Source organism: Homo sapiens, chromosome 14 (genome assembly GCF_000001405.40).
Source record: "Homo sapiens chromosome 14, GRCh38.p14 Primary Assembly".
In the NCBI taxonomy this organism is placed as follows: Eukaryota; Metazoa; Chordata; class Mammalia; order Primates; family Hominidae; genus Homo; species Homo sapiens.
The window spans coordinates 29919973-29940485 of NC_000014.9; the positions used below are offsets into that span (position 1 = coordinate 29919973).

General features: G+C 39.2%; 1 protein-coding gene and 1 long non-coding RNA gene across 5 annotated transcripts in view; one reads left to right on the top strand and one right to left on the bottom strand.

Annotated features, from left to right (window-relative positions):
* Nucleotides 1-7875, bottom strand: part of PRKD1 (protein kinase D1) — a 351369-nt gene extending 343494 nt beyond the window's left edge. For 3 of the 4 annotated variants that reach the window (XR_943493.3, NM_002742.3, NM_001330069.2), the window contains exon 1: nucleotides 7277-7875. Coding sequence is in view for 2 of the 4 variants with exons in the window: in NM_002742.3 (NP_002733.2) it covers nucleotides 7277-7540 (264 nt within the window). In the remaining 2 variants the exon portion in view is untranslated. Of the gene's footprint in view, nucleotides 1-6993; nucleotides 7125-7276 lie in introns of those variants that run through there. The other variant, NM_001348390.1, reaches the window with a different exon arrangement.
* Nucleotides 8155-16078, top strand: LOC105370429 (uncharacterized). The gene is made up of 3 exons (XR_943703.2): nucleotides 8155-9139; nucleotides 12337-12521; nucleotides 15819-16078. It is a non-coding gene; the product is annotated as an uncharacterized LOC105370429 (long non-coding RNA).
* Nucleotides 16079-20513: the final 4435 nt, after the last annotated feature.

Below are 20513 nucleotides of genomic sequence, written 5' to 3' on the forward strand. Positions count from 1 at the left end.
AGAGAGAGAGAGAAAGAGAGGAAGGAAGGTAGGAAGGAAGGAGGGAAGGAAGGAAGGAAGGAAGGAAGGAAGGAAGGAAGGAAGGAAGGAAGGAAAGAAGGAAGGAAGGAAGGAGAAAAGAAAAGAGAAAAGGAAGAAAGGGGAGAAAGAAAAGAAAAGAGAGAAGAAAAGAAAAGGAAGGAAGGAAACAAGGAAGGAAGGAAGCACTTGTCTTGTTTTGTTCCAACATATTCCAACAATAAGGAAAGATTTAAGAAATTGAAGTCTCATTTTCAAAATCACTCTAAAGTAATGCTGGGGAAATTAAAAGATGAGTAGTATCTTTTATTATTAAAAAACACCCTATATTTTTACCTCTATTGCCACATTTGGGTTTAGATTTTTCACCTTAAACAAGGTGATGGCGCAAGGTCAGAGGTCAAAGATTACCCTGATACATAAATCAAAGCAAACAAATATAAAAACAAAGCAAGGAAGGAAACTTCATGTTACCATCAACACCTATAAGACTGCATTCTACCAAGTTCTAACAGTCTGAGTCCAGCCCTGCAATATTGATCATTATACTAGTTATTTGGTATAGTTTGAGAGCTTATTCAATGATTCCAGTCTAATACACACACACACACACACACACACACACACACACACACAAAGTTTCATATAATTATCCATTACACTCTTCTTTAAAAGATTTATAAATAATTAAAGATTGTGGTTTTCTAAAGGTTTTATAATGGGGCATGGACTTCCATGACAGATAAGTGGTAGGTAGTGGGAATATCTAAAAAAGACTTGTGATTGGTTTTGCCAAACTGATAACTCAATTGTTTCCCAGTAAATTTGCCTTCTCATCTCAAAATGACATTTCTGCATATGCACAACCAATTATGTTATATTAGCTATCATCAGATGGAACAATTTAGCAAACAACCTCTAGATGTTAGCATGACAGCAAATTGCAATCTCCCTACGTCATTTCCAAGCACCTTCCTTCTCATGTATCAAGCGATGATCTGCAAATAAGCTTTAAATTTTGGTCTTGAGAACCAGAATTTTGAATCATTGTGTTCCCAAATGTTGCACCTTTATCTATTTTATTTCCTTTTTAAAAAATGAAGTGAAATACCATTGACATTGCACTTGTAATTGAAAAGGAGTTAAATCATCTTTCTGTCAAAAATAATAAAAAGCAATGAAAATATGCTTTACTTTTATCAGCAAATGTGTCTTTCATTTAGTAATAATTAGATTAGTCCTTAAAGAATGCTGAGAGTTTGAGATTTGAGAAACTGTTTCAAAACATAACTACTTCTAAGATTTGCCCTGATACAGAGGGCAGGAAAAAGATGTCACCTGGGCCTTACAGCCATATTGCTTTTTTTAATATTATAATTTTAATTATATATTGATATAAGAATAAGATAATAAATATAAATTTCTTTTGTTAATAAGACAGTATGCTAGTCTATAGAGCTTTAAGCTTTAGTAAACAACAGCATTTATTATGCACGTATTTACAAAGCAGTATGTATGTTACATATATTGTCTTTAAATCTCAAAGTAATCTTAGATAAGTCACAAATATACATTCATTGACTTACAAATGTTCTGCATTCTCTAGTAAGGTCAGTAACAGTTATTCATGAATAAATTAGTGAAGACTTATATACAATCATCTCACAAAAAAAGGTAATAATCATTAGAAAATAAAGTTATAAATCTCCCATAAAAGCTATGATAGGAATCTGGTGAAAATAAACAGCACAGTCATGAAGTATGGTCTTCTGGGGCAAGTTTTTAAACCTTATTCCAGTAACCCCCACCACCACCACCACCATACACAGTGTACTTTTACTCTTTCAGATTGATCTCAATTCTGAATCTAAAGGCCCAAATGAATTCATGTATTTATCAAATGAGCCAATCATCCAACTCTTCCCAGCCCATGGACTACAAGGCTTAATGGTTTTAACTTCACAGTCTCACAGGATATTCTTGTGAAAACTGTCAAATAGTACATACCTGTTTTAAAAAGGTTTATAAGTCTGTGAATTGATAGAAAAATATAAAGCAGAGTTTCTCTTGGGAGGCCAAGGCGGGCGGATTACGAGGTCAGGAGATCGAGACCATCCTGGATAACACGGTGAAACCCCATCTCTACTAAAAATACAAAAAAATAGCAGTGCATGGTGGCAGGCGCCTGTAGTCCCAGCTACTTGGAAGGCTGAGGCAGGAGAATGCTGTGAACCCAGGAGGCAGAGTTTGCAGTGAGCCGAGATTGCACCACTGCACTCCAGCCTGGGCAACAGAGCGAGACTCCATCTCAAAAAAAAAAAAAAAGAAAAAGTAAAGAAAAAAAGAAAAATGTAAAGCAGAGTTTCTCTTTGGGATTGTGAGATATGTGATGAGGCCTCATTTTTTGCAGTCTATAACACAAAATATAAAACAATACTTCACATCTGGAGGCTATACAAGGATAAGGAAGCTCTTAAAAATATATTTAAAAAATAGTTAAACATAATCTACTACATATAAATTCCACATCTGTAATACATAATATACAGTTCCAAAATATAATCCTGTTACATTATTAAACTTGAAAAGAAATTTAAATTTTAAAAGTACAGGCAGGGCACAGTGGCTCATGCCTGCAATCCCAGCACTTTGGAAGGCTGAGGTGGGAGGATTGCTTGAGGCCAGGAAATCAATAACAGCCTGGGCAACACAGTGAGACATTGTCTGTATAAAAAAATTATAAAAATTAGTCAGATGTGGTGGCACACACTTGTAGTCCCAAACACTTGGGACGCTGTGGCAGGAGGATCACATTAGCCAAGACTTTGAGGCTGCAGTGAGCTATGATTATGTACTGTACTTGTAGTCTGGGCCTTATCTCAAAAAATAAAATAATAAAAATAAAATTAGAGTACTAAAATTATATTACTTAAGAATCACTTAATAGGCCAGGCCCAGTGGCTCACACCCAGTGGGATTCCTTAAATCCCAGCACTTTGGGAGGCCGAGGTAGGAGGACCTCTTGATCCCAGGAGTTCCAGACCAGCCTGGGCAATATGGCAAAATACCATCTCTACAAAAAATTTAAAAATTAGCCAGGCATGGTCACCCATACCTGTAGACCCAGCTACTCAAGGGGCTGAGGTGAGAGGATCACTTAAGCCTGGAGGCCAAGACTGCAGTGAGCTGTAATTGTGCTACTGCACTCCAGCCTGGGCAAGAGAGTGAGATTCTGTCAAAAAAAAAAAAAAAAAAACACACAGTAAAATGACAAATTCTATACTTCATCATTAAATCAGAAATCAGTAGACATATAATATAGCCAATTATAAAATTGGAATAAAAATATATACACCTAAGCCCCAAAGACCATCATTAGTTTAAAAGGAGTTTGTTGGTCCAGGTGAGTTGGATTGATCAAGCACCTAATTACTTTCGGCTTTCTCAATCTATGTGGAATGTGTGGAGTATCTAAAATTAGTAATAAAGAGAAAAATGACATCACAACTATTAAGAAAACAATGTATAATACAATTAAAGTGAAACAATTACAAGCAAAGTAATGCTACTTTCAAACCAAGGCACTAACCTTACTTCTTTAGTGAGCTATCTACTTAAAATCTCACTGTTAAATTTCTTTAGCCAAAAGATGATTCTGAAAAGTGAAACTATATGCCAGGAGTCTTATAAATGCTATTACTCCATTTAAGTACATTTAAGAGTAAAATATCAGTTGCCTTTCTAATAAGGTAATAACCAAAATGAACAATCATATTAATGGCATCAAGCATCCCTAAAGAGTAACACAGCTCATTTGAGGAAAAAAAAAAAAAAAAAAAAAGTATGTGTGTGTGTTTGTGTGTGTGGTAGATAAGTAGATGATGTACTATGAAACCAAACTAGCTCTTCCTCTGGAATTTTTTTCCTTGCTTTAAAACAATTCCTCCTCAGTCTACATATTCAAGGTTTCTTTGACAGTAGAAAGTAACAGTGTTTCAAAGTGAAGTCAATGATTGTTATTATTTTTTACCCTCCTGAAAACAATAACCATGTACACTAACAGAATACATATCTTTATATACAACCAGGCTTCAACGTCACACACTTGCAAACTAAATAAACAAACATAATGTAAATAAAACCCTGGATCAATACTTTCTAAAAAGAAAGAATAACATATTATATAGCCATACATTGTTACATACAAAAAAGCAAGACTAGATTTTTCACCTAAACTAGAAGATGAAAGAAATAATTCTTTACTTATATAAGTCAGTATATACTTAGGGTACGTTATCTTAAAATAAGTATTTTTTGTTGAATTACCATCACAATGTTTCAAGTACAATCGTGTCTGCTACATAATTAGAGAACAACTATACTCTAAATTCTAAATAATAACAATAATAATTTACAGGTGAGTTTCTCAGGGAAACTTATGCAGCCTTGTACACCTCAGTTGCTCATCCCAAAGGAAATGTCCTGTGATGTTACTGAAACTGTCAGCTAATATTTCCAATGCTCGTATGATCTATGTTAGTACTTAGGGAGCTCCTGAACAAAGTGAATGAAAAACTTCTTAACACATTTAAAACAACAGATGTGGAAGACTCAGAAAGATCAGGAGAACCTTCTGCTGTAAGTTCCACACGACTTCAGCCCACATAGTAAATTGTAAATGATTTCAAACCCTCTGCTCTCTCCTGAAACATCCAATCCCCAAACTCCTGTCATCCTTCCTCATAGCTGACGTCCTCATAAGGTACTTCCAAAAAAAAACTGAAATAAAAGACAAAAGAACTCCCTCCCACTTCCTTAACTCCACACTGACACTCTGCCATTCCTACTGTCACAACACACAGAGATCCTGTATCCTGTGATGGACCTTCAGCTCTCTTAATTTTGTTTCTGCTGGGATAATAATATATTCTGAAAGAGATGACAAATGACAGAGAAATTGAAAAAGTCCTCTGTCCAGAAACACTATCCAGTATATATTTATTTACAGTATTCTGTATATAAATAACCCTCAAGTTCACATCTATAAATCTAACCCCAACTTTTTTATAACCTAAAAAAAAAGTGAGATCTTTACCTTAACTATTCCAAACAGTCAAACTTTTCAAACTTCTTTGAGAGAGAGAAGAAACTACTAGAATAAATACAAAAGGAAAGGATTCCCCTTATAAATCAGTCACCAATCAGGGCTGATGATTTTCCCTTTCCAGTATTTCTCCCAGTCTCTCCCCCAAGTCTTGACTCATGTTCCAACTAGCTCATGACTGAACTTCGGTGCTCTTTCTGCCATAACATTTTTGGCATTCTAAAACCTCCATACAGCAAATCCATCTTTCAGATGTCCTTGGTATGATGTCGCTATGAAAAGATTACTGAGGCTTCTAGCAATTTGAGTTTAATTCAAGGCCTTTTCATAACTGTACTTCCCTTAAATACCCAGGCCACCACCTGCAGGCCTGCTGCATTCCATAGGTGCTTGCTGTCCCTCTCCCTCTGCTCTCGTCTCACTCTCTCCATGTAACACGCCCCTTGGTAGCTTCTGAGACACCTGGAATTCACCCTCCATTTAAAATCCCACTACCAAACCTCTTGAACTAGGCATCAGTCTCCCCATTCTGAACTCCAGGAGGAAGTGGGGGGCGGGGTGGAGGGAGAATTCAAGCTGGTCAAAACAAAGTCTATCAATATTACTTTGACCCAATTTGAATATTCTCTGACACTACTTCACTTGCTTTAGAATTTAGAAAAGTTAAAATTGTACAGAATTACCTTTGCTTTTTGAGAAATTTTGTTTTACATTGTATACGTGCTTATGAAGCATTGCTGTTTCATTAACTGGTCTGCATCCAAATGGAGAGGATTGTATACAAGGCTTTCACAGTGCCTAGGAGTGCTCCTGCTGACCCACAATAGACATTCCACAATACTGATGTGGAAAAGGAGCATGATATGACTTACATCAGCATTAGACAAAACGTGTCATTTTCTTGGAAGTTGCAAACAGTTGACATTACCCGTAATATAAAAGTAAATTTCCATAAATAAATTCCTGGCACTCATTGTTACCTTAGTCTAGAACTTTCACAACTTTCTAGATCAGTGATTTTTTTCCACCTGGAGCTTTTAACATTCCTGTGCTCAGTGCTGCAATTCACAACCCTTAAGATTTAGCAAACTCTGTTACAAATAATTTAAAGAAAGCAATTCATGATTATTCAAGTGATAATTAGAAAGCAAAAGGAGTGCTAGCCAGTCCTCCAGGGCTGAAAAATTCAGCACCTTTAGAGACCTCTGTCTCCACTCCTGAAACGCTGGCTGTTTACACTAAGAAGACTGGCGCCATGGCCCCCTCTGCCTCACGTCTGTATCACCCCCTTCCATGCAACATCCATCTGGATGGCTCCAGAGGCAACCTGAAAATCCAAATTGCTACTGTAAACAGTGGTGGGTGGGCTGAGTCTCCTCTGGGGGTGGCCTGGCCCCGGATAATGACCCTTCTAACCTGCCTTCAGTGGCCGCTGTCCAGAGCCCCACAGCCTCAAACTTAAGGACACAGCCAGCCTCGGGGTGTTCCTGGACATCACCCCCACCACTTCAACGTCCTACTATCAGCATCCCGGGAATGAAAAATAGGAAGGTCGCAACTTTCAGGTTTTGTCGTTGGAAAATGTGTTTCCATGCTCATACAGAAGTGGAACTAAAAGATGACAAGGCCTTGGGTACCTGCACTCCTGGTCAGTTGTTTTGACAACTGGCCGAGTCAATCACACTCTCTTAAAAGCTTATCTGACAGGTGAGAAATTCCTTGTCTCCAGGTCATTCCGGGGGCACTCTGGTGCAGGAAGGAGGATTCCTGCACCAGGAATGCGCTGGTCCAGGGTCCGTAGGGGAGAGAGGGGAAGAAAACTGGGAAGTCTCAAGGACAAGGAGGGGCGCGGCGAGGAAAGGGCAAGATACCTGGAAATGTCATGAGAAGGATGGAAATGGGTGAGGAGGCGGCGGACTGGAGAGAAATCGGTGAATAGAGGAAGATGGGGCGAGAGGAGGATGAGCAACAGCGAGCGCAGCGCCTCGGGTTGCAGGCGTCCAGCCGCGGCGGGGCCAGCCGCTTCCAGAGCGCCGGCGAGGCTGGCGGCCAGCCGAGCCCCGGGAGCCGGAAAGTTGGCGCGGAGAGGGCCAGCCGGGCAGCGCCCCCTGCGCCGCGGGGAGGCGCCGGGCTGGCAGCGGTGCGGCGACTTACCTTCTGGTCGACAATGGAGCAAGCCATCTCGCGGACGTGCGCCAGGCTGTAGTCCCCGGACGAGTCCTGCAGCAGCAGCACCGGCTCACGGCTCAGGCCGATCTGCAGATGGAACGAGATGCCCCCGACCGGGGCCGCGACAGGAGCCAAGAACGGCGCGGGCCCGGGCCCGGACCCTGGGACCAGTGCGGCGGCCGCTGCGGCAGCTGCCGCCGCCACGGGCAGCAGCGGACTGGGCGGCCGCAGGACCGGAGGGGCGCTCATCGCTCGGCGGGGCGCAGGGCCGGGCAGCGGAGGGCGGGGGCTGGCGGCGCGGCAGCAGGAAAGTTTTGCAGCCGCTGAGCCAGGAGCTTCTTTCTCCGAGAGCCCAGACGGAAAATAAAAACTTTCCGGAAAAGTCCCTGGGCTGGGGGAGGGCAAGGGGATGAGGATCGGGAGGGGAGGGGACTAAGGGGAGGAGATGGGGAGGAGGGAAAATGGCCGAGGCGGGAGGACTCTGAGGCCCGGAACGCGGCAGCCGGCTCGGGGCCGCCGGCACTGGGGAGGCGCCGCCGCCGCCAAGAATCTGCCGCCTGGCGCGCTCGGAAGGACGGGGCGACGGGTCGGCGCGGCCCGAGCGCCGGGCGGGGGCCGGGGCGGGAAGGGGGCGTGAGGGGCGGGGAAGGGGAGCTGGGGGCGGGCACTGGGGAGCCACCACCCGGCGGGCGCGGGAGTCGCAGGAGCAGCGGCCGCAGTGGCCGCAGGGTGCCCGGTCGCCGCCCCCTCCGCCCGCAGTTCCCGGGGCCTGAGCCTCCGCGAGCCGGGATAGGACCGAGTGGCGGGGCTCGGAGCCGCCTCGGCAGGCGCGGCCCTTCCCTCCCTGCAGGGATTCCCGTCCTCTCGGGTCCCGCTGCCCCGCCCCGACTGCGGACGGAGTGGATGGGGTGCACCGCCTCAGACCCGCTTCCTGGGGTCGCGAACTTCCCGGGCCCCAAGGTCCCTGCCACCTCTTCCAAATGCTGGAGGACTACGCACTTCTACAAGTGAGGTGACTTTTGAGGAATTCAAGAATGCTGATCACAGCGGTTCCCCTTGGGTCTTACCTTCGGAGGGTCAAGGGAGGATGGGTCATCTGGAACCCACTTACATCCAGGCCCCTCTGGGAGCCCTGGGGTTTGTGGCCAAAGAGGGTAGGAAGCCACTCCACAGAAAGGGGTTTAAACTTGTCTCTACCCTTTTTGTCGCTCTGACGCGCCCTTACAGCCAAACCTACGTACTCCACCCCAGCTCCTAAGGCACCGGATATACACAGTGATCTAAGGAGAGGGTCGCTTTGGAAAGAAAAGGCATTGACTGCCCAAGGGCAGGAGGGAGGTCTGATGCGGTCTCCTTTCCTTTACCTTATTCTTTGCGCCTGAAGTTTCTACTTTGGAGCTTCAGAAACTATTTTCCTTCTCCTCTATCAATCTAAAGTCTGTTATATAGGAGCAGTGCCCCCAAGTCCACCTCAGCACCGCCACCGTCATCACAAGCACAGCCATCAGGATTGGGCACAACCTGCCCTAATTTGGATCGCCGTTTATTTTTACTGTTGTTTTGGCAGGGTGGGGATTGCTTTACATTCGCTGGAGATGAATTATAATTCTCCCCTCCAACCAGGGTGGGCTTCATGGGTGTGCGACTATGCAGTTGTATAGGCCACAGCTCATAAGACCCGTGTTTGGTTTAATATTCTGGGACAATAGTCTACTGTCGCTGTTTTGTTCTTCTTCATAATTTTTAATCAAGGAGTCTCACATTTGTATTTTGCAATGGGCCACGCAGATAATGTAGTCAGCTTTGCCTCTCTCTTCGCCACTTCCCTAGACTTTCCCCTTCCTCTGCGTAAGTACACACAAACATACCTAAACAAACATTTTGTATTTTGTATAGCTTATTTTGTTCTGTTTTATTTATTTATTTATTTATTTATTTATTTATTTATTTATTGTCTTAACTTCTGGTTGTGGCCCAAGATATTGCAAGGTAGCTTCCTTTAGAACCGTGTTCCCAGGGTCAGTAATGGAGCCCCAAACACTGCAAGGCTGCACAACTGCATTGAAGAGACTTGAATTTATTCTCTGAATGTGATGGTTTGATAAGGTCTACCTGTGTTTACATTTTCCCTGCATAGTTACTTATGAGGTGGTCCTCTTCATCCCTGATACAGGTAGGTAATTTTCCTAATGTTCTAGACTCAGCTAATCTAGGAAAATGGTGGAATTTTTCTTGATGAAATGCCTTTCTGAATTCTGAAGGAGGTTTTTTTCTTTTAAATGTCCGAAACTATACTTCATTTTCTTTGAAATCAGAATAAAGTTAATATTCCACAGTTTTCTATTATCAAAAAAAAGCTTGCTGGTCAGTTTACAAGAGACTTACAAAAAGCTAGTTTCACTTGAGATTCAAGAGCGCTGAAGACATTCATGTTTTATAGATATCACAACTGCATGTTGAGGACTTCTCTGTTCCAGGCACTGTACTGGCACCAGTTGCACAGCTGTGAAGACAGGTGGTCCTTGCCCTAAAAAGATCACAGTGAAAAGGGGAGGGGGGATGGAGTAAAACCACAAATGATATTATTTCTAATATTCATAATTGCAATGAATTTTTTAAACCCAATGGCGAAGACAGTGACTTGTGGGAGGAGGGATGAAGAAATGGGCACTGCTCTGGACTGGGAATGAGAGAAGACTTCACTGAGAAGTTTACATTTGAGCCAAAATCTGGATGATAGAAAGGGTAGACTTCAGAAGAACTAGGGGAATAACATTGTAGGCATAGGTAACAGAGAGTGCAAAGACTCTAACACAGAAATATATTTAACATTTTCAAGGCATAGGAAAAGAGGGGCAAGTGCGTGAGATGAGGTCAGAGAGCTAATAGAAACCAGGTTACCAGGAGTCTTGAAAGCCATGGTAAAGTGTTTTTATTTCAATTCTCAGTGCACTACCAACCCATTGGAAGGTTTTAAAGCAGGGAATAATAAGATTAATTAGCATGTTTTAAAAGATTACTCTGGATTTTGTGTGGAATATAAGAGAAAAGAGTAAAAGTGGAGACACTGGGTAGGAGACTATTGCTGTTTTTGAGTCTAGAAACACGGGTTAGACTCCTATGGTTGTAGAAGAGATGCTAAGAAATGGGAAACTGCAGGCTCTATGTTGGCGGAAGTTCTTGCTGAATGAGTCAGAGATTTACAAGGAGTGAGAGAACAAGGGTGTCACAAAAGACTCCCAAGTTTCTGAGCAATTGGACTGATGGTGGTGCCAATAATTGACACAGAAGATAGAGAGTGAGCAAGTTCAGGGAGAAATAAGATTTCTACTTTGACCATGTTGAGTTTGATATGCTGCTAGATATTCAACTTAGAAATAGCATCTAGAGCTGGATATATGGGTCCAGCATCCAGAAAAGAGAAGAGGGTCAGAAATACATTTAGAAATCTTCTCAGTGTGCAGAAGGCATTTCAATGTGAGATTAGATGAGAGCTCTAGAGAGAAAGAGCTTAAAGTACTTATCAGTTATGAGACTTACAGGAATTTTAAAAAAAGTATGAATAACTTCTTGTTAGACTATGATTTATCAATAGTATGAAAGATTTATGTAGGGTGTTGGAAATAATTGATAAGGAAACAGGAGAAGGAATTCTAAAGATGCCCTAGAGAATTAACATTACTTTTAAGACGGTGAAATATTACTGAATGCAAAAGAGTGAATAAAGAAAAACAAGAAGAAAAAAATCGTGTATCTACTGGACCTCCCCATCGCAAACAGAAAATTCCCATGGAGTTGGTTATTGCAATTTCTATTGTAGGCACCTGAAATCTAACAGTTTTCCAACTGCTGCTCACTTTTGCTGAATGACAAGGGAATGAATAAACAGAGAATATCTATAATAAACCTGGTGTATATCTCTGGCAACTTTGAAATTGAACATAGAAAACTTGAAGGATTTGGGAAAATCTGGTTTTAATCTCTTCTGGATGTTTTAATCTTGGAAAAGAAAAGAGGATATAGAAAGTGAATAGTAGCTTATATTAATTATATTCATGAAATGGGCTTTCATTATTTTAATCCTGGCTAACAAGACAAGAATAAGGGACTTCTAGCAGTGACTGGGAGCACCACTTTGTAAAGAAAGTTTCATGCCCTAATGAAGACTCCACATAAAAGTGATGTGGACCTGCAAGGGTAAGAAAGTTTCATGCCCTAGGCCTAGGCTCACGCCTGTAATCCCAGCACTTTGGGAGGCTGAGGTGGGCGGATCACGAGGTCAGGAGTTCAAGACCAGCCTGGCCAACATAGTGAAACCCTGTCTCTACTAAAAATACAAAAAATTAGCCGGGCATGGTGGCGGGCACCTGTAATCCCAGCTACTTGGCAGGCTGAGGCAGGATAATTGCTTGAACCCAGGAGGCGGAGGTTGCAGTGAGCTGAGATCACGCCATTGCACTCCAGCCCGGGCAACAGTGTTAAGACTCCATCTCAAATTAAAAAAAAAAAAAAAGAAAGAAAGAAAAAAAAAGTTTCATGCCCACATAAAAGTGATGTGGACCTGCAAGGGTATGCAGAGTTACGTGGAGGTACTTCCAACAATTTCCAACGATGAATGTTAATCTTGTCAGGTTGTCTTCAAAAGATAGTTGTATGTTCAAGTCATTTTGGAAATATACAATAATTCACAAAAATCAGAAAAAGGGCTGAGAATAACCTGATTTGAGTGGCACTCAGCCTCACTCACTGTATGCTTTGTCCAAATTAAATGGACAGCAGAGAAAGGAAAGTGAGAAAAAAAAAAAGTGCAAATCTGTGGCTGAAAGGATCATATCCCCTCGTCCAAACATTTGCCAGCTTAAGAAATTGAGGATTACAGAAATTATATACCAATGTGGAAATCAGAGATTTGAGGGAGAAAGTATGGTTCCAGTATATCCTTCCTTTATATATTATTGAGCACTGGATGTTATGTGCATGAAGATAAAGATGGATAGATGGATGACTATATGATTTAAAAATTTATTGTTGTTTACTTGCTTTAGAATGTTCATCTATAATTGTTCATCAGACCAGGCTAAATAAGGATAATGGCACAAAAGAAAAATAAGACCCAAATGGAGACATCAACCACAGACACCTGGCAAAAAATCTTCTGCTAAAACCTGATTTTGTGACAAAATGCTGCCTTATCTTGCTGATGATTTCATGGACAATAAAAGGAAAGAAGGTAAACTTGTTAACCTAATTTTTCACCAAGAAGAAAAACTAATTTGTTCTTTAAGAAACCAAATTTCGGCCGGGCGCAGTGGCTCATGCCTATAATCCTAGCACTTTGGGAGGCGGAGGCAGGTGGATCACAAAGTCAGGAGTTTGAGACCAACCTGGCCAACGTGGTGAAACCCTGACTCTAATAAAAATACAAAAAATTAGCCGGGCGTGGTGTCAGGCACCAGTAATCCCAGCTACTTGGGAGGCTGAGGCAGGAGAATCACTTGAACCCAGGAGGCGGAGTTTGCAGTGAGCCAAGACAATGCCCTAGCCTGGGCAACAGAGCAAGACTCCATCTCAAAAAAAACAAAAAAAGAAAGAAAGAAAGAAACCAAATTTCTAGGTATGATCCTAGAGTCAGAGACCCTGAAAGGACAGGAGGCCCTTGAAGAAAAGCTTTCAACTATAAAATCATAAATGATCCAGGTGAGGAATAAATGCAGAAACCAGTGTGACTACACCTCAAGTTTTGGATAAGTACAAACAGGCCAAGAAAATGAACAAAAATAGAGATAGGTATATGAACAAGAGTAAATAGAAATTATTATAAGCTAAAAACAATCAATTAGCTTTAATAGTTCCATGTTATATATGAACGATGCTCTTGGGGAATTTTATGTTATGTTATAGAACAAGGGCTTATGAACTACTTCTTATGAAAGACTTAGGGTTCTCTCTAGGCCCTAATGGGTACAGTTAGACATCCTGCCTCACTTTCAACCAAGCAGCTCTCCTTTCATTTGTTAATATACCAGGGTCCCACAAATTTGTTTGAAAATAAAAGTTCCTATTGCTAACAAATCTGAAATTCTTTAGTGTGGTAGGATGTGAATGAGCTCTGGGGAAAAGGCTGATCTAATTTTGATGCTAAATCTGCCACTTATTAATGTTGTGGCTCAGAGGAGAGATGGCTGGTTTCTTACCTGACCATCTCCACTAACTGTGGCTGGAGCCACAGTCACCTCATTGGTAAAGTAAAAAATTACACTACTCAAGAGTTGTGAACATTAAATGATTTAGTTTATATAAAAGCACATAACACAGTGCCTGCCACAAATACTAGCTATTAATCACCCCAAAATACTAGCTATTATCAACTATATTAGTCCAAACATCATTCCTGCCAGCCACATTACTTACTATAATGTTAAAACAACAGAGAAAACAAGCCTAACTCCATTTTGCTTGGTTTCTCTAGCAAGATAAAAGGATGTAAAAAAATGGTTAAAAGAAAACTGAAGCTCAAAATAAATGAAAAGATGGTCACACATTATCTAAATAGGGGATGAGCATTCAAATAATCACAAGACTGTACTGATGGATGTATTGCAAATATCTTAAAGTATTCTTGGAGAGAAACAAATGTCTTGATTTTCAAAAAGATTTCAAAATGTAGACCAGTGAGTTTAGCATCAATAATCAGCAACATTCTAAATCAGATTATTTAAACAAATGGTTCGTGAAAAATTATGAATTAAAAGTAGTTCCTAAAAGCAGGCATGAGTTAACTAAAATAAATGTTGTTATATTACTTGCTCTTCTAACTTCAAATTGGAGGAGGACATTACAGATATTTGTTTTTTCTGAATTTCAACCAAAATTGAACTATTTTGGTTGTCTTCACTATTGGAGGACATTTTTATCTGCTTATGTTCATCAACAGACTGAAAGAATAAATCCAGCTACCAGTGTTTAAGTTGTTACAAGAAGGGAGAATGAAGGAAAAGTTCGTATCCGTGGAACCAATGGGCCTTGAAAATAGGATTAAAAGAATTACATCTTTATTAAAAGAAGTTTTAAAAAGTAGTGCTGCTAATGGTTTCTTCAAGCTATATTTCTCTAACTTTTAAAGGCATGAGTAAACTTCAAAATTTTTTGTCCAAAACGTTGATGATTTTAACCATATGCTTTTTATGTACATCCAAAATACCTACCTGCATTTACATTTTTATGTTATGTTTTTTGGTAAGACTTGATTTCCTAAATATCATTCCATCCTAGACAGTAAAAACTCTGCTATTCTCATAAGAACTAACATCTGCTGGCTCCAAGGTATCATAAAATTTGCTCAGGTTCCCTGTAGAAAACAGAATGAAATCACCAGTCTAACACTTTTTCCTTCAACTTCAATATACTCAGAAGGCTATATTGCTTAGAGTTGCCAACTCTAATTGTGCACATTGGCTTTTACTAAGTCAATCCAACATTCAAATTCAGAAACCATTAACAGCAGCACATTTGTTTTTCATAAAGATGCAATTTTTCTAATCCTATTTTCAAGGCCCATTGGTTCCAGAAATACAAACTTTCCTCCATTCTCACTGGATGAGTGTCATAGCTAAACATCTTCTAGTATGAATATCAATATATCCCATTTGTTGATATTATTCTATAAACTAGTTTACTCTCTTTAATACATGTCATTTTATGAGACTTTACATTTTTCATTCAGTATGTTTTACTAAAATCAATGACTAAATTTTGAAAAGTTAATAAAACAGAATAGAGGTACAATTAATTCAAAGTTACTTTTTGGGTTTCTTCCTGGAAAAAATATTTTTGAGCTGAAATTTCTTGTGTGTGGTTTCTGTTGCTTGATTTGGAAAATACAAATATTTAAGGGAAAGAATCTGGAAGATTTATTTCTTGGTGACATAACCAGGGGAAAATAGTTTTTAATAGCTTAAGAAAAAATAATTTGCTTTTCTTGGCTTAGAAAAATTTTAAATGGCATTATTTCTAAAATTCACTTATTACTATAATATACATATTCCACTAGGATAAAAGTCTACATAATTAAAATAAGATGATTTACATGGAATTGAAATTACATTTTATTTAATCATCATCTGCATTCTTTTTACTAATTCTTATCCTCAAACATACAATCCTAAAAATTATTTATGTTGTAAGCACACTGACCTTCTTTGTCTTACATTACTTTTTAAAAATTTAATTATTTACTTATTTGATCTCATATGTATTTGAACTAAAAAGCTCTGCTCCATATATCTATAAATAGAATATTTACTTCATGAATTAAATATTTTATATATATTTTTTAACTATATAAAGTCTTTCCATATTAATATAATAATATGTATTTTTATAAATACATTTTGTTTTGTTTAATCAGTCAGTTATCTAGAGTATCCAGGAAAACTGAAGTCCTCAAAAACTGAAAAAAGCATAACATTTTAGATTTGTTTCACAGTGTATTCAAGAAAAGGACTATGTACTTTTCTTACTCTTTTAGATGAAGAAGAACATTCTAAGGTCCCTAACCTTTGCACTTTGCTGCTCCGATTGAATGTCAAAGTCGACAAGTGTCAATAATGGAATTTGAATGCTTGTTGGTTTGTCTGTGCAACAGCAGTTCTATCAATGCTCAGAACGTCTTGGTCTTCCTTTATTTTTTCTTTCAATACATGTTCATCTAGATTTGACCTTCCAAATTGGACTTTTAAAAAATCACTTATTTGGCCAGGCGCAATGGCTCACACCTGTAATCCAAGCACTTTGGGAGGCCAGTTCGAGACCAGCCTGGACAACATGGTGAAAACCTGTCTCTACTAAAAATGCCAAATTTCCCAGCACTTTGGGAGGCTGAGGTGGGTGGATCACGAGGTCAGGAGATCGAGACCATCCTGGCTAACACGGTGAAACCCCGTCTCTACTAAAAATACAAAAAAATTAGCCGGGCGTGGTGGCAGGCGCCTGTAGTCCCAGCTACTCAGGAGGCTGAGGGAGGAGAATGGCATAAACCCAGGAGGCGGAGCTTGCAGTGAGCCGAGATTGCGCCACTGCACTCCAGCCTGGGTGACAGAGCAAGACTCCGTCTCAAAATAAATAAATAAATAAATAAATAAATAAATAAATAAATAAATAAATAAAATGCAAAATTTAGCCGAGCATGGTGGTGAGCGCCTGTAATCCCAGCTACTTGGGAGACTGAGGCAGAAGAATCTCTTGAACCAGGGAAGCGGAAGTTGCAGTGGGCCGAGATCCTGCCACTGTACTCCAGCCTGGGCGACAAAAGCGAAACTCTGTCTAAAAAAATAAAAAATAAAACCACTTATTTGAGTAAATTCTGCCTGCCCTCAAGAAACAAAACAATTTAAATTGTCAGTGAGGAAGATGCATTTAACTTTTTTTCTTTTACCAAACATGTTTTCTTTGCTTTAAAATATAATTCTAATTACTATATAATTAAATAACAAAAGATTTTATGTGGTTTTCATTTATGATTTATCGTCTGTGTTCTTCTCAAAAACAAGAAAGCCATTTTTATGCATAGAAAATTTTTATCAAAACAACTACCACAAATATCTGTAATGAGCATGATTACTGATATAACATTTCGTTCTATGCTTCCTCACAGCCAAAGCAAGAGAGGGAAACAATGTGGCTTTTAATTCTCAATATTTGATTTTTAGCAAAAATGTTAGATGAAATTACCACAGATATTCATACTGTATAAGATATAGACAAACATTTGATTTAGATTCTGGGCTTCCTGAGGACAAGATTCTTGTTTCTCTTACCTTTATATCCCTTAGCACCAGAATATAGCTAATGTTCATTAATGTACTTTTTAAATAAAACCGTTCAACTACAGTTTAAAGATTCAAAACTTGCAAACTTTTTTTTAAGATGGCAGGTTTATTTTATATCCACCCTATACAAAAGCTCAGGTCACACAAATCAACTGTAAATCAGACAGACATATCCTTGTGAGACTAAGTTAATGAAGTTCAGATAGGTTGCATTCTTGTGATTAGTGTGACTCAGGATGACTTGCTTGAAATAGCTCCCCTGTCGTAATCTGGGTATAGGACTTTCTTAGGGCTATTACTCTAGCACCTATCCTATAATATTGATTTTACTTGTATCCTATACCTGGTAGAACCATTTTGTAATTATCTCTGCATAACCCTCTTCAAGTGTCCCCAGAACAAAGCATTATATCTGGCATAGAGTAGGTACTGATATTTGACAATAGTTCAATAATTGTTTACTCCATGAGTCAATGACCGGAACTTAAAATGCCTCCACAAAATGGATAGCATTACTTAATGGCCTAGCTTCCAAAAAATCAATCACCTCGGCTGGTGTTTTTATTTGAGGAATGACATGTATTGTTCTCTTTCTGATTGAAAAACTAATACATGTTAATTTAGAAAATATGGAAAACTCAAGTCTAAATTAAAAAGTAAAAATTATCTGTAATCTCCCAATTCAGTATTAATACTAACCTCCTTTATTTTTTCTATGTACAGGCATGTGTGGACTCATATTATAAATATTGTTTTGTAATCTGATTTTTAAACGTAATATACCAAAGCATTTTTCCAAAGTCATTAAATATTCTTCCAAAACATCATTTGGGAAGGCTGCAGAGTGTTTTAGAATATGGTTTGTGACTCCCTGTGGTTGAATATTTACTTTTTTCTTGGTTTTTGCTAGCACACTTAGAAAATTGCAAATAATGGCACTGCTACTTGGTTAGAAAATATAATCATAAACTGAAACTAAGATTTAGAAATTCAGTTGCAGGAAAAAAATATAAATTAAGACTAACGAATTATGGAAAGGATTGGCTGTGCTAACAAGGATTATGTCTCAAGACTTAAAATACAGTCATTTACAGATGCAAGAAATTGCAAAGAATTCATAATTATGAAACACATTAAGATGATATAAAATCTAGAAAATTATTTTTTAATTATCAAGACATTGTAGATTTTTAAAAATTGAATATTCTGGCCAGGCGCAGTGGCTCATACCTGTAATCCCAGCACTTCGGGAGGCTAATGTGGGTGTATCACCTGAGTTCAGGAGTTCGAGACCAGCCTGACCAATATGGTGAAACCCCGTCTCTACTAAAAATACAAAAATTAGCCAGGTATGGTGGCGCACGCCTGTACTCCCAACTACTTGGGAGGCTGAGACAGGAGAATTGCTTGAATCCTGGAGGCAGATGTTGCAGTGAGCCGAGATCGCACCACTGCAATTCAGCCTGGGCGAGAGAGCAAGACTCTGTCAAGAAAAAAAAAAAAAATTGAATATTCAAATCAAATTTGACACCTCAAGAGAACATCAGTTCAGTTCTGGTGTCAGAAATCAAAACAGTGATGTATGCTATATCTAGAAAGTAAGTGATAGAATATATATGTATATATTTTTACTGTATTTTATTATGACAGAAATTAATTAACTTGATGAAATATCACTGTCAAGTGAAATTGTAAAGTGGTATTAGCTTTACTGCATTTAATTTTCCTCCCAACCATACTTTTTTCTAGTCCTCCCAACCATAATTTTTTCCAGTCCTTTGTTAATTGGCTGGAAATGTAAGTGCCAATCAAATTAATGCTATAGTACTTTAAAAACCATCAGCACATGGTTCAAAAGCAGATGGAATAAAAGGATGTTTAAAACTGATTTGTGAAGCCTAGTAAAATTGTGTTAAATGAAAACTTTCCATTTTAACAATCAAATCTAGACTATTGAGTAATGATACAATTGATAAAATAATTTAGTTGCCTAAATTAACATAGTTTAAAAAGTAATTAAACAACACAATTCTATTTGGCCTATAGCATTTGCTTGGTTCATCTTCAGATTATGTCTGTCTGATATCTAACAAACCATGTACTTAAGTAGTTAAATTGCTATCTGTGGAACACTTTAGCAGCCCACAGCTTTGAAACAATCTGGGGAAGACTAGCTTCTTTCGAACGAATGTCTAACACACACACACTCATACACCTGTACTGTATTAGTCAAACTAAACCTATAGGCATTATAAAATAGCCTTCTTAGCCTAATCTCAAAAATACAGAATTTAGCTGGGCAAGGTGGCTCATACCTGTAATCCCAGCACTTTAGGAAGTCAAGGTGAAAAGATTGCTTGAGGCTAGGAGTTCCAGACAAACCTGGGCAACACAGCAATATCCTTTCTCTACAAAAAAATAAAAAATTAATTGGGTGTGGTGGCATGCACCTGTTGTCTTGAACTCCTATGCTCAAGTAATCCTCCCACCTCAAACTCCCAAATAATCTTAGCTGCTATGAAAGTTCAAGGTTACATTTAGCTATGATTGTGCCGCTGCTCTCTAGCATGGGCAACAGAGTGAGACCCTGCCTCTAAAAAAAAAAAAACCAAAAAACAAAAAACAAAAAATCAAACAAAAATACAGAGTTTATTTTTTTTAATGTCACAATGGTGAATATGGATGTTATGAACTAAATTGTATCCCTAGCAAAATTGATATGTTGAAACTCTAACCCCAGTACCTCAGAATGTGATGACATTTGGAGATAGGGCCTTTGAAGGGGTAATGAAGTTAAAATGAAGCCATTAGTTGTGGGCTCTAATCCAGTCTGACTGGTGTCCTTATAAGAGGATTTTAGGGCATACAGAAAGATGTGCACAGAAGGAGGACCATGTGCAAAGACAAGAAGATGGCCATCTGCAATTCAAAGAGAAAGACTGACAGAAACCAATCCTACCAGCACTTAATCTTGGACTTCCAGCCTCCAGAATTGTGAGAAAATAAACTTTTGTTGCTTAAGCCACTGTTTTTGTCCATTTTCTGTTGTTATAACTGAATACATGAGACTAGACAATTTATAAAGAAAATAAACTTATTTCTTACACTTCTGGAGGCTACGAAGTCCAAGATTTTGGTGTGGGAAACTAGTAGAGGCTTCCCTGCTGCTCATAACATGACAGAGGGCATTATGTGGTGAGAGGGCAAGAGCATGTTTCACCTCAGTTCCTGCTTCCTCATTTTATAAAACTACTAATCCCATCATGAGGACCCCCACTTTAATGACCTTATCTAATCCTAATTACCTCCCCAAGGCCCTACCTCCAATCAACACATAAATTTGAGCATTAAGTTTCCAACACATGAAATTTGGGGGACACATTCAAATGATAGCA